Source organism: Homo sapiens, chromosome 3, assembly GCF_000001405.40.
Source record: "Homo sapiens chromosome 3, GRCh38.p14 Primary Assembly".
Classification (NCBI taxonomy): Eukaryota; Metazoa; Chordata; class Mammalia; order Primates; family Hominidae; genus Homo; species Homo sapiens.
Window position 1 is genome coordinate 179,026,412 of NC_000003.12, and position 13,459 is coordinate 179,039,870.

At 45.0% G+C, this 13,459-nt stretch overlaps 1 protein-coding gene across 11 annotated transcripts in view; it reads right to left on the reverse strand.

The window, feature by feature from the left end:
• The window catches only part of ZMAT3 (zinc finger matrin-type 3), a 55,291-nt gene that overhangs the window by 9,189 nt on the left and 32,643 nt on the right, over nucleotides 1–13,459 (reverse strand). For 9 of the 11 annotated variants that reach the window (NM_001375827.1, NM_001375828.1, NM_001375826.1 and 6 more), the window contains 3 exons: nucleotides 4,469–4,588; nucleotides 1,235–1,401; nucleotides 1,012–1,112 (listed from right to left, as the gene is read on the reverse strand). In NM_001375827.1, coding sequence (NP_001362756.1) covers nucleotides 1,012–1,112; nucleotides 1,235–1,401; nucleotides 4,469–4,588 — 388 coding nt within the window. Of the gene's footprint in view, nucleotides 1–1,011; nucleotides 1,113–1,230; nucleotides 1,402–4,468; nucleotides 4,589–13,459 lie in introns of all 11 variants that reach the window. The other 2 variants (NR_164720.1, NR_164721.1) reach the window with 1 other exon arrangement.

Sequence of the window (13,459 nt, forward strand, 5' to 3'; positions counted from 1 at the left end):
AGTCTTGCTCTGTCACCCAGACTGGAATGCAGTGGTGTAATCTCAGCTCACTGTAGCCTCCACCTCCCAGGTTCAAGCGATTCTCCTGCCTCAGCCTCCCAAGTAGCTGGGATTACAGGCGTATGCCACCATGCCCAGCTAATTTTGTATTTTCAGTAGACACGGGGTTTCACCGTGTTGGCCAGGCTGGTCTCGAACTCCTGACCTCAGGTGATCCACCTACCTCAGCCTCCCAAAGTGCTGGGATTACACGCACGAGCCACAGGAGCCTGGCCTGAATTGTGCTTTCTATATGTCCTTTTTTTAGTAGGCTTCTCTGGCTTTTCAGTTAGCTCTGTTTTCTATTTGTTTCACTGTTCAAGTAAATGACCTCTGCTGGCATGTGCATGAATCAGAGGCTGAAGTAGAGGGGAGGGTGAGGGACTACTCAGCCCACTCTCCCTACTGAAGACAATCAGAAAATGCAGAATTTATTCCTATAAATCAGTGTTTGTGAACTAAATGTGTATATCAGAAGCATCAAGCAAGCATTTTCAAAACACACATATGTCTGGGTCCTACTCCAAATTTATTCATTGAAAATCTCTAAGTCATGGTTCAGGCATTTTGTAAAAGCTCCTTGGGTAATTCTGTTTCACTAGCCTGGTTAAAAAACACTGCTTTAGAATCTTTTCTTTAACATGGTACAACTTTAAACCAAGTAGCCCATTTTTATCATGTCTTTTACATTTCTCAGCTGGAAATATAAACAAACATAAGGGGACAAAGATAAGAGATCCTAAAACACAGACTATAGTGTAAAACCAAAATAAATAATATATTATTTACAACAATAAAGTAAATAAATGAGACCTGAAATACACACCAGCCTGAAAGGCCGCCACTAGACTAATTCAATAAAACACTGACTAACTCCAAATTCTCAGGGCTATCTATTATCATTAAAAGAAATAAAAACAAAGGAGACTAGGTACAGAATGTACCCAAGGTATGTGGAAACAGACAAGATACCTGAATTATTCTGTACTGTATACATATTTCTCCTGTTAGGCATCATCTTAAACTCATTCCCTTCTTTCCTGGCCCGCCGTTGACCCAGCTCTGAGGATTCCCTGGAGAAAAGAAGTTTAAAAAAGAGTGAGTCTTCTAAACAAGAATCCCTTTCTACTCTTTTTCTTTAAAGACAGTCAATCTCACATAACACTTTGGCCTCAGAGAAAATGGCAATACCTACGAGAATGAGTTACTCTGAGCTTCCGCCAGCCGCAGCCTCTTGGCATGATTCTTCCCTTGATAGTGAGCCTGAGCCACAGCTGGGGAACTGAAGGAGGCATCACAGAGCTTACAGTAATCATTCTCCGTGGCCAGGATCACTCGGCCTCCTGGCTTAAAGGAGCCCATCTGACATCAAAGACACAAGAAGAAACAAAGTTAAAAAAAATACAGAGTTTCCTCCTTCTCCTCAAAGGTCTTTCTAAGAGCTGAAAAACAACCAAAGGATATGGCATGACCACAAGCATTAAGCTTCATCAAGAAAATAATTCAATCCAGGAAAACAAAAAGGCTGGGAGATACTTAATCATGGTTTTGCATTATAATCACTTAGGTACCAAATTAGTGAATGGCTAGTTGCTGTCGCCACTGAAGACATTTTTTAAGAGTTTAAAAACCTTAGATTTAGGACAGTAAGTCATGGGTAAAATAGGTAAGGCCTAAAATCACATTACGGGAAACAGTAAAGTCTGCAGAATCCATCGATAAGCATTTAGTGACTGTTAACTCTTTATCAGGGTTGCTGTCTAGTCCAGGAGGGATACATAGTCATATATTTTTTTAAAAAGAGCCCCTGTCCACAAAGAGTCTACAAACTAGCTACAGATATAATCCGGAAAAAAATTAAAAATAAGTAGCAAATCCAGACAACTGTAGTCAGGTTGTGGAATAACATGTTAAAGAGAGCCTAACAGATTGCCCAGAAGATAGTAGGCATTCAGTAAGTATTAGGTTAACAAAAAAAATGACACACTAGGTTTTGGCCAGAAGAGAATAATATAGTACATGATAAAGATTCTGGAAACCACATATATCAGCAACAGTTGCAGAAAACAGCATCATTTCACTTGGAAGGGAAGTTTTTTCTGGGGTATGCTCTGAAGAAAGGCTTAGGCTGCCTGCCCGGGAGGGTGGAGCCCACTGAAAACAGCCCCCACTGGGGGTAGCTATTCAATTCTAGAGCAGCCTTCAGAAACCAGTGACAGGAAAACTATGCAGCTTGAAGATCTCTCTGGGTATCTTCTTGTTCTCTGATTTGGTTTTTTATATATCTCATTTTCCCCACAAATCCATGAGAAGGAAGAACAGCCAGAATTGCTACCCACACTTTTAAATACTAAAAACTAACACTCAGAAAAGTAAAATGATACAAACTGGTTAAAAGCAAAGGTCTAAGATCAAAAGAAATTCTTGGGCTGGACACGGTGGCTCATGCCTGTAGTCCCAGCACTTTGGGAGGCCGAGGCAGGTGGATCACCTGAGGTCAGGAGTTCAAGACCAGCCTGGCCAACATGACAAAACCCTGTCTCTACTAAAATAACAAAAATTAGCTGGGCATGGTGGCAGGCACCTGTAATCCCAGCTACTCAGGAGGCTGAGGCAAGAGAATTGCTTGAAACCCAGGAGGCGGAGGTTGCAGTGAGCCCAGCACACCATTGCACTCCAGCCTGGGCAACAAGAGCAAAACTCCATCTCAAAAAAAAAAAAAAAGAAAGAAATTCTTGCTCCACCACTTTACAAAACCTGTAACACCATGGAAAGTTACTTAGCTCATCTAAGCTTCTAATAAACTTCAGTGAGGCTGAAACTGCTGACCTATGGACACCAATTTGAGTAATATGGCCAATACCTCTAAGTCGCTGCAAGCATTAAATGACGTCAGGGCCTGGGACTAAAATGAAGCAAGTGAGACACTTGCCTTGGGCTCAGAATTTAATGGAGCATCAAAAAAAACTCAGCAATCAAGATTAATAATACTTTCATGGAATTTTTTTAATTACATTTTCTTTTTATTTTTTTGAGATAGTCTCGCTCTGTCACCCAGACTGGAATGCAGTGGCACAATCTTGGCTCACTGCAACCTCCACCTCCCGGGTTCAAGTGATTCTTGTGCCTCACCCTCCCAAGTACCTGAGACTACAGGCACACACCACCACACCCAGCTTAAAAAATTAAATTTAATGCAAAAAATTAAGGATGAATAAAATACCAAAATTTTACATTCAGAATCAGTAACAACACTGCCACACCAAGTCATATTGCAGCCTGGGGCAAAAGGAAAATCAGTAATACTTATTTTAAGTTTTTAATGTTTTGTTCACCACTATTTTAAATCAATTTTACATTTCTAAAATATTGTATTAAATATCTATCTTTATTACTGAGTTTTTTGGCTCCTTCTTAAATTTTATGCCCAAGTTTAGTGCATCCATCACCTCACCATAGTCCCAGCCCTGACTGAAACAACGTATGAAACATGCTCAGCACAGTGCCTGGCACGATATGTACTCTATTATAACTATTATTATTTATGACCACTGTATTGTTTTTATGGACATATAACACTTCAAAGACAGATTAAGAGTAGACTCCATGTTTCAGAGGCTACTAAGGTACAGGAATATCTTGCCTAAAGCACCTGTTCTATCTTCCAAAGAGCAGAAGAACTTGGTTTTCAAGTCTGTTTCATGATAGCAAGGTTCAAAACATGTTTACACAGGCTCTCTGAATAGAGGTAAGTAATAAGCAATCTCAAACACCTAATTTTGCAACTGGAAGGCAAAATCTGAAATAAATGGGATGAACTGCAATAAAGGAACACATGTTTGAAAATCTCTCTTTTCATTTTGGGGTTAGCCTAGACATTCAGGATCATTTAGCCCAGAATTTCTTTTTTTTTTTTTTTTTTGAGATGGAGTCTCGCACTGTTGCCCAGGCTGGAGTGCAGTGGTGCAATCTCAGCTCACTGCAAGCTCCGCCTCCCGGGTTCGCACCTTTCTCCTGCCTCAGCCTCCCGAGCAGCTGGGACTACAGGTGCCCGCCACCACGCCTGGCTAATTTTCTGTATTTTTAATTGGGACAGGGTTTCACCGTGTTAGCCATGATGGTCTCGATCTCTTGACCTCGTGATTCGCCCGTCTCGGCCTCCCAAAGTGCTGGGATTACAGGCATGAGTGACCGCACCTGGCCTATTTAGCCCAGAATTTTAAGAAATGTATAAAGACTCACGTAACAATAGCCTGCATTAAATCCAGCACTGTAGTTCAAGGAGTTAAAAGTACCAAGCAGCATCTTTCAGGATTATTTTCCCAACTGTACCCTAATGGACACATGGACGACAAATGTCATCTATAACCATTTGTGCATATTACAGCTTCCACCCTAATGCTGCTTCACCCTGACACACATGTCTCACCTGCGGAGGGACTGGAACAACTGGAGTAGCTGCAGGCTCGACCACATTGCTCATTCTAGCAGGAGGAGGACAGCTATTTGCTGCATAGTAATTTCGGAGTTTCTTACCATGATTTTTACCCTAGAAATAAAAATAAAATGAGTACAGCAGTCCACCCTTATCTGCAGTTTCAGCAATTTCAGTTAGCTATGGTCAACTGTGGTCCAAAAATATTAAGATATTTTGAGAGAGAGACCACATTCACATAATTTCCATGACAGTATATTTTTATAATTGTTCTTTTTTCTAATTAATTATTGTTGTTATTCTCTTACTAGCCCAATTTATAAATTAAACTTTCTCCTGGGTTATGTATGTACAGGAAAAAAAAAAAACGCATATAGAAGAGTTCAGAAATATCACGGTTTTAGGCTTCTACTAGAGGTCTTGATATCTCCTATGGATAAAAAAAAATGAAAACTGTAATCACCATGAGAAAGTGTGTCAAACTGAGTTAATCAATGTATTTACTTAATCACTTAAAAAAAAAAAGAAAAAAACACAATACTAACTACATTTTATTCCTTCACACATACACAACCCTGGGGGTAAACAGACTACTATAGTGCTAGATTTGATTGCTAGATCTTGAAGTAAAAGAGCCTACTCTTTGGCTCTAACAGAACAATTAAATTTTTCTGGGAAAGACAAGAGAACACAGCCAAAGGAAATTAATTTCCTGTATGTTTCTTAAAAAGTATCACATTGGCTGGGTGCGGTGGCTCATGCCTGTATCTCAGCACTTTGGGAGGCCAAGGAGGGTGGATGACCTGAGGTCAGGAGTTCGAGACCAGCCTGACCAACATGGTGAAACCCCATCTCTACTAAAAATACAAAAATTAGCTGAGCATGGTGGCACATGCCTGTAATCCCAGCTACTCGGGAGGCTGAGGCAGGAGAACCACTTTAACCTGGGAGGCGGAGGTTGCAGTGAGCGGAAATCACACCACTGCACTCCAGCCTGGGTGACAAAGTTAGATTCTGTCTCAAATAAAAAAAAAAAAAACTCTCCCTCTCCCTCCCCCTCCCCCTCCCCCTCCCCCTCCTCCTCCCCCTCCCCCTCCTCCTCCCCCTCCTCCTCCCCCTCCCCCTCCTCCTCCCCCTCCCCCTCCACACAGCCTCCCTCTGATGCTGATCCGAGGCTGGACTGCTTGCCGCCATCTCGGCTCACTGCAACCTCCCTGCCTGATTCTCCTGCCTCAGCCTGCCGAGTGCCTGCGATTGCAGGTGTGCGCCGCCACGCCTGACTGGTTTTCGTATTTTCTGGTGGAGACGGGGTTTCGCCGTGTTGGCCGGGCTGGTCTCCAGCTCCTGACCGCGAGTGATCTGCCAGCCTCGGCCTCCCGAGGTGCCGGGATTGCAGACAGAGTCTCGCTCACTCAGTGCTCAATGTTGCCCAGGCTGGACTGCAGTGGCGTGATCTCGGCTTGCTACAACCTCCACCTCCCAGCCGCCTGCCTTGGTCTCCCAAAGTGCCAACAGTGCAGCCTCTGCCCGGCCGCCACCCCGTCTAGGAAGTGAGGAGCGTCTCTGCCTGGCCGCCCATCGTCTGGGATGTGAGGAGCCCCTCTGCCCGGCCGCCCAGTCTGGGAAGTGAGGAGCGCCTCTTCCCGGCCATCATCCCGTCTGGGAAGTGAGGTGCGTCTCTGCCCGGCCACCCATCGTCTGGGATGTGGGGAGCACCTCTGCCCCGCCGCCCCGTCTGAGATGTGAAGAGCACCTCTGCCCGGCCGCGACCCCGTCTGGGAACTGAGGAGTGTGTCTGCCCCACCACCACCCCATCTGGGAGGTGAGGAGCGTCTCTGACCAGCCACCCTGTCTGAGAAGTGAGGAGCCCCTCTGCCCCGCAGCCGCCCCGTCTGGGAAGTGAGGAGCCCCTCCACCCAGCAGCCACCCCATCTGGGAAGTGAGGAGCGTCTCCGCCCGGCAGCCACCCCATCCAGGAGGTGGGGGGCAGCCCCCGCCCGGCCGCTACACCGTCTGGGAGGTGGGGGGGCGTCTCTGCCCGGCCGCCCCGTCTGGGAATTGAGGAGCCTCTCTGCCCGGCCGCCACCCCATCTGGGAGGTGTACCCAACAGCTCATTGAGAACGGGCCACGATGACGATGGCGGTTTTGTCGAATAGAAAAGGGGGAAGTGTGGGGAAAGGAAAGAGAGATCAGATTGTTACTGTGTCTGTGTAGAAAGAAGTAGACATAGGAGACTCCATTTTGTTCTGTACTAAGAAAAATTCTTCTGCCTTGGGCTGCTGTTAATCTATAACCTTACCCCCAACCCCGTGCTCTCTGAAACATGTGCTGTGTCCACTAAGGGTTAAATGGATTAAGGGCGGTGCAAGATGTGCTTTGTTAAACAGATGCTTGAAGGCAGCATACTCGTTAAGAGTCATCACCACTCCCTAATCTCAAGTACCCAGAGACACAAACACTGCGGAAGGCGGAAGGCGGCAGGGCCCTCTGCCTAGGAAAACCAGAGACCTCTGTTCACGTGTTTATCTGCTGACCTTCCCTCCACTATTGTCCTATGACCCTGCCAAATCCCCCTCTCCGAGAAACACCCAAGAATGATCAATAAATACTAAAAAAATTTTAAAAAAAAGGAAAGAAAGAAAAGAAAAGAAAAGAATATGGGATTTTAGGAAAAAAAAAAAAGAAGTATCACATTTTCCAGTGACTTATGTCCTCACCCAACTTCTTGCCATTTATATGCCACAGATAAATATGAATTTCATGACACTCTGATCTAATGTACTTTATAAGTTAGTAATGAAATGGATAATCCAATTATTCTTTTAAAATTGCCCTTACAGAGTATCTTTTTACTTACAAAGGATGTTCATTGCATTTATTCATTTGCTGCTCACAAAAATCTTGTAAGAGGAATTTGTTAATATTGTCCATTTATGACAGCCAAGGAACTGCAATCCAGAGACTGTAAGGAGCTTGCCCCCAGCTCCCTTCTCAAGGGCTAAATAGCACAGCCAAAGCCTGAGACAGGCCTTCCAAATCAAAGAATGGCCCTTTTCCACTACAGCATGATGGCTTCAAGATGCACTAGGAACCTCTACTAACATCAACTTGCCTTTCTCATCACGTTTTATTAGTCACATGATTATATTCCTTGAACTGACACAAACTAGTGGCAAGGGTCAATAGTACAAAAGCATTCTAAATAAGGGTAAAACAGTATATTATTCTTTAAACTGCATTGTAAAACTCAAACCTGCAGGCAAACATTTATTCACCATCTATTTATATGCTAAGCCCTAGAAATAAACTAAGGACTAGCACATAGAGGAGGAGACAGATACCTAAGCAGCTAAATAGAGTAATGAACTAAGATCCATCTTCTCCTCACTTCAATACCCTAAAGGTGCTTTTACCATGGTCACAGTGAACTCCAGAGTCAAATCCAGTGGTCACATATGTGCCTTCATCTTACTGGAACTCAAAGTAGCATGACACAGTTCATTTCCTTCTTGAAACATTCCTCCTACTATCATCTATACTCCTTCTTCCCTCCCCACCTCTCCTCCTCTATCAGACCTCTAAACTCTACAATGTCCAAGGACGCACCCTTAGCCCTCTTTTATTCTCTGACTCTAGGTTATTCTACCCAGACCTATAGCTTTCAAATACCATGAGTAAGTTGGTGACTCCCCAAATCATCAATCTCCATCTTTGACCTTCAGAACCACATATCCAGCTTCCTCCTGGTCATCCATACTTTCACGTCTTAAGAGGCATATCCAACTTAAAACAACTTTTGATTCCTCCTCCATAGAACTTTCTCATCACCACCATCACCACCACCACTAGTCATCCACAGTAGGTAAATGGCACCACCATCCACAAAATTACCCAAGAAAAGCCAAGGGGTCCTTTTCCTGATTCCATCCTTCCCTAAGCCCAACACATTCAACCCATCAGCAAGTCTTGTCATTCAAAATACATCCCACATCACTCCACTTCTCTCCATGGATACTACAAATACCACAGTAATCCAAGGTACCAACATTTTTCATTTGCAGTAGGTAACAGTGGTCATTTGCAGTAGGTAACAACTCCTAATTGGTCTCTGCTGTTAATCTTGTCCTCCTAGAATTCTCCTCATTATAAACCCAAGTAATAATTCTTGACATGAATCAGTTCCATGTCACTCCCTCACATAAAACTCTTCCAATGGCTTTCTGCTATACTTAAAATTGACAAATCTTACCTATAAGGCCCTACACGATCTGGCCCTGTCTAACTGACAAATCTCACCTATAAGGCCCTACATGTTCTGGCCCCATCTAATTGACAAATCTTACCTATAAGGCCCTACATGATCTGGCCCCGTCTATCTCTTGGGCCTTATGTCAGACAGCACTCCTTCCTTTCCCCTGCTCATTATGCTCCTGGCTCACTAGGCTGCATGTGCTCCTTAAACATGCCAAGCTCAGGCTAGCTCCAAGGCCTTTGTACTTAACTGTTCCTTTTGCCTAGAATGTACCTCTTGCAGATCTCTGTATGGATTGCTCCTTCTAATCTTTCAAGTCTCAACTCAAACTGGACCTCACTCACTCTCAAGTGTCACAACCACTCCCCCTCTCCACACCACACACACTCCATCATATTACCACACTGGCCGGTTTTATTTTATCTTAGTATCACTAATCACTATCTAAAATAATATAGTTTGTTGACTTGTTTTTTTTTCTCTTTCCTCCGCTCTGTAATGTAGACTTCTTGAAAATGAGGACCTCATCTGTCTTGTTTACTGTTCTAATCCCAATGCCTAGAATAGTTTCCAGAATATAGCAAGCAAGCAATAAATAACTGTTGGATAAATGAACCAAGTATTATAATGAAGATAATAAACTGCTAGGAGAACACAGAGAAGGAATTTCTTACTCCTGCCTGAATGTATCACGGAAGACTTCCCTGAAAAGGGGGCAACTGACTCATCTTTTTAAATGAGCAAATGTTTACAGGGGAGGTAAGCAATACGGAAAAAGAAAACTGTGCACCAAGAAAATAGCATGAGCAAAAGCCCAGCCTTCTGTGTTGAGGGGCTACAAGGAGAGATAACGGTCTTCTAGATCCTTTGGAGGAGAGGCAAAAATTGAAATACACAGGGGGCTCATTCTTAATGCCTTTGCCCATGATAAAGAACTTGGACTTCAGAGGCAGCAGGGAGCCTCTGAGGAACTTTAAGCAAAGCAGTGCATGACTTGATTGTATTTGATAAAGATGAGCATCAGGGTAGCAGACCAAAGCTGGAAGCTGGGAAGATACACAGAGGAGAGTCAAGGACAAAATCCTAGACACTACAACATAGAGTCTAGTAGAGAATGAAGATCCAGAAAATGAGATTGACAAGGTCTAGCCAAAAAGTAAGATAAAAATCAGATAGTATGTTATCATAGAAGCCCACAACCAAACTGGAGTTCAAGAGTGTGGTCAGGATGAAGACAGACTCTCAGGAATGATCTGAATGTGGATGGTATTTAAAGCTATGGAGCCAAAAACTATCACCTAGACAGAGTGGAGACAGATAACAGCTTGCAAAATGGGCCTCAAGCAAGATAATGGCTAGATAAAGGAGAAAGACGCAGGAACTATGAAGAAGGTAAGAACAAGTAATAGCATATTGGATAAGAGGGTAGAAGGGAGGTGAACCGCAGGGTAGATGGAAATATTTATGAAAAATTTTTAAAGGTGTGGGGAGGAAAAAAGGCTTTGGGGAAGAAGATAGAGTCAACAATCTCAATCTCAATATGAGATTGAGACAACCGAAAGACATCTTAATGAATCCAAGAGACAGTGCAATGTGTGGCTTAGTGACAGCAACTGGAGACAGACAAATTCCTAGGCAGACAGGGATGGGTCCCTGTGAAACCCAACCTCATGCCAAAGACAGTTTAAAGACTGAAAACTGAGCTGCCAGTTGCAGGTGGAGTCCACAACGAGAGTGAGAACTTCCTCGATGCCTTTTAGGCAATCAAATGGTGCTTTTTCCAAGCCGACCCGTGAACCAATCAGCACGCACTCCCCCATTCTGAGCCCATAAAAATCCCAGACTCAACCCCACAGATGGCAAACCTCTTTTGGGTCCCCTCTCACACACAGGGCTAATCACTCTTGGGCCCCCTCTCTGCTGAGAGCTTTCCTTCTATTGCTCAATGAAATTCTTCTCCACCCTATTCACTCTCCAGTGTCCATGTACCTTATTCCTCTTATTCCTCTTGGTCGCAGGAGAAGAACCCAGAATAGGCCAACCTGTAACACACACCCATTCACTGAGCTGCGGGTGGTGGGACCGACTGAGCTGTAACATGCCCCTGTTCGCCAAGCTGCAGGTGGCAGGAACAATACAAAGCTGCAACATTTCTTGGGAGGTCAAATCTTGGGACTCCCCGGATGAGAGCTGTAACACCCCTTGGGACTCTGCCATTACTGACATCTCTGAGTTTTCGGGCACCACCCACATTCCCCTCATCTAGACAACGACACCCAATGCAGAAGCTGCTGGCAACACACCCAGTGGAGCCATGGGCTGAGTGCAGATCCCTCAGCGGGCGCAGGATCCAGGCCAAGGCACAAGCCGAGCACAGCCTGCCAGGCTGAGTGGGCGGAGTGAGCTCGGTGGAATGAGGCCCCAGGCAGAGGACACAGCACCCACAGAGATTTCCGGCTGGTGAAGCAGCACCAAAGGAATCCTTACACTGCAACCCTCCCTCCTGCTCACTGAGCAACGGGGAAAAAAAGCCAGTGTGCCATTTCCTCCCGCTTGCTGAACTACAAAAGCTGCAACATTAGCACTAAGGAAGTCAAGGCTAAGAAGGTTTAGAAGTCTTCTAAAAACAGGTGAGAATTTGAATCTACAACTCTGGCGGAAGATAACAGGGTTAAATAGTTACTGACTACCCTCTATGTTCTGGCAACCATTCTAAGAAAAGGAGATAAAACAGTGAACAAAGGCAAAGTCTCTGCCCTCAAGAAGCTTTTCTAGGGGACATAAACAGAATATATACATGTACATATATATATGTACACACACACAACCAAAGAAAAAAGAGTTACTGACAACTGCTCTGCAAAAAATAAAACAGGATGATATAATAGATAATGGACAGGGAGAGAGTGGGGTGGGCCGACAAGGCTTTTCTGGGGAGATACATGTCAGCTAAAAGCTGAAGCATGAGATGGCTCCAGCCATGCAATGTAGAGAAAGGGGGAAGAGCTGGGCATCAAGAGACCCACTTGCTGTGTTAAGTCTGAGATCCCTTTCAGATGTCCAAAGAGAGACCAACCTGGAGTTTACGAACGAGGTCAGGTTAGAGATAGAATCTGAGGAGTTATCAGTATGTAGGTGGAATTTAAAACCATGGAACTAGGGCCAGGCACAGTGGCTCATGCCTATAATCCCAGCACTTTGGGAGGCTGAGGCAGAAGGATCACTTGAGTCTAAGACTTTGAGACCAAACTGGGCAAAATGACAAAACCCCATCTCTAAAAAAAGAAAAATGAGGCAGGCATGGTGGTGCAAACCTATGGTCCCAGCTGCTGGGAGCACTGAGATGGAAGGATCAGTTAAACCCAGAAGGTTGAGGTTGCAGTGAGCCATGACTGCAATGCTACACTCCAGCTGGGTGACAGAGCGAGACCCTGTCTCAAAAAATAAAATAAAATACAAGATGGCCAAATAGGAACAGCTCTGGTCTGCAGCTCCCAGCGTGATCAATGCAGCAGACGGGTGATATCCGCATTTTGAACTGAGGTACCTGGTTCACCTCACTGGGACTGGTTGTACAGTGGGTGCAGCCCACAGAGGACGAACTGAAGCAGGGTGGGGTGTTACCTCAACCGGGAAGCCAAGAGGTCAGGGGATTTCCCTTTCCTAGCCAAGAGAAGCCGTGACGGACTGCACCTGGAAAAACAGGACACTTCTGCCCAAATACTGCGCTTTTCCCAAGGTCTTAGCAACCGGAAAACAAGGAGATACTCTCCCGTGCCTGGCTTGGCAGGTCCCACGTCCACAGAGCCTCACTCACTGCTAGCGCAGCAGTCTGAGATCAAACTGCAAGGCAGCAGCCTGGCTGGGGGAGGGGCCTCAGCCATTGCTGAGGCTTGAGTAGGTAAACAAAGTGGCTGGGAAGCTCGAACTGGGCAGAGCCCACCACAGCTCAACAAGGCCTACTGCCTCCAGACTCCACCTCAGTGGGCAGGGCTTAGCTGAACAAAAGGCAGCAGACAACTTCTGCAAAGTTCAATGTCCCTTTCTGACAGCTCTGAAGAGAGCAGTGGTTCTCCCAACATGGTGTTTGAGCTCTGAGAATGGACAGACTGCCTCTTCAAGTGGCTCCTTGACCTCCATGTAGCCTAACTGGGAGACACGTCCCAGTAAGGGCCAACAGTCACCTCATATAGATGGGTGCCCCTCTGGGATGCAGATTCCGGAGGAAGGATCAGGCAGCAATATTTGCTGTTCTGCAATATTTGCTGTTCTGCAGCCTCCGCTGGTGATACCCAGGCAAACCGGGTCTGGAGTGGACCTCCAGCAAACTCCAACAGACCTGCAGCTGAGGGACCTATTAGAAGGAAAACTAACAAACAGAAAGGAATAGCATCAACATCAACAAAAAGAACGTCTACACCAAAACCCCATCTGTAGGTCACCAACATCAAAGACCAAAGGTAGATAAAACCAAAAAGATGGGGAGAAACCAGAGCAGAAAAGCTGAAAATTCTAAAAATCAGAGTGCCTCCTCTCCAAAGGATCATAGTTCCTCACCAGCAATGGAACAAAGCTGGACAAAGAATGACTCTGACGAGGTGACAGAAGTAGACTTCAGAAGGTCAGTAATAACAAACTTCTCCAAGCTAAAGGAGCATGTTCGAACCCATCGCAAGGAAGCTAAAAACCTTGAAAAAAGGTTAGACGAATGGCTAACTAGAATAAACACTGT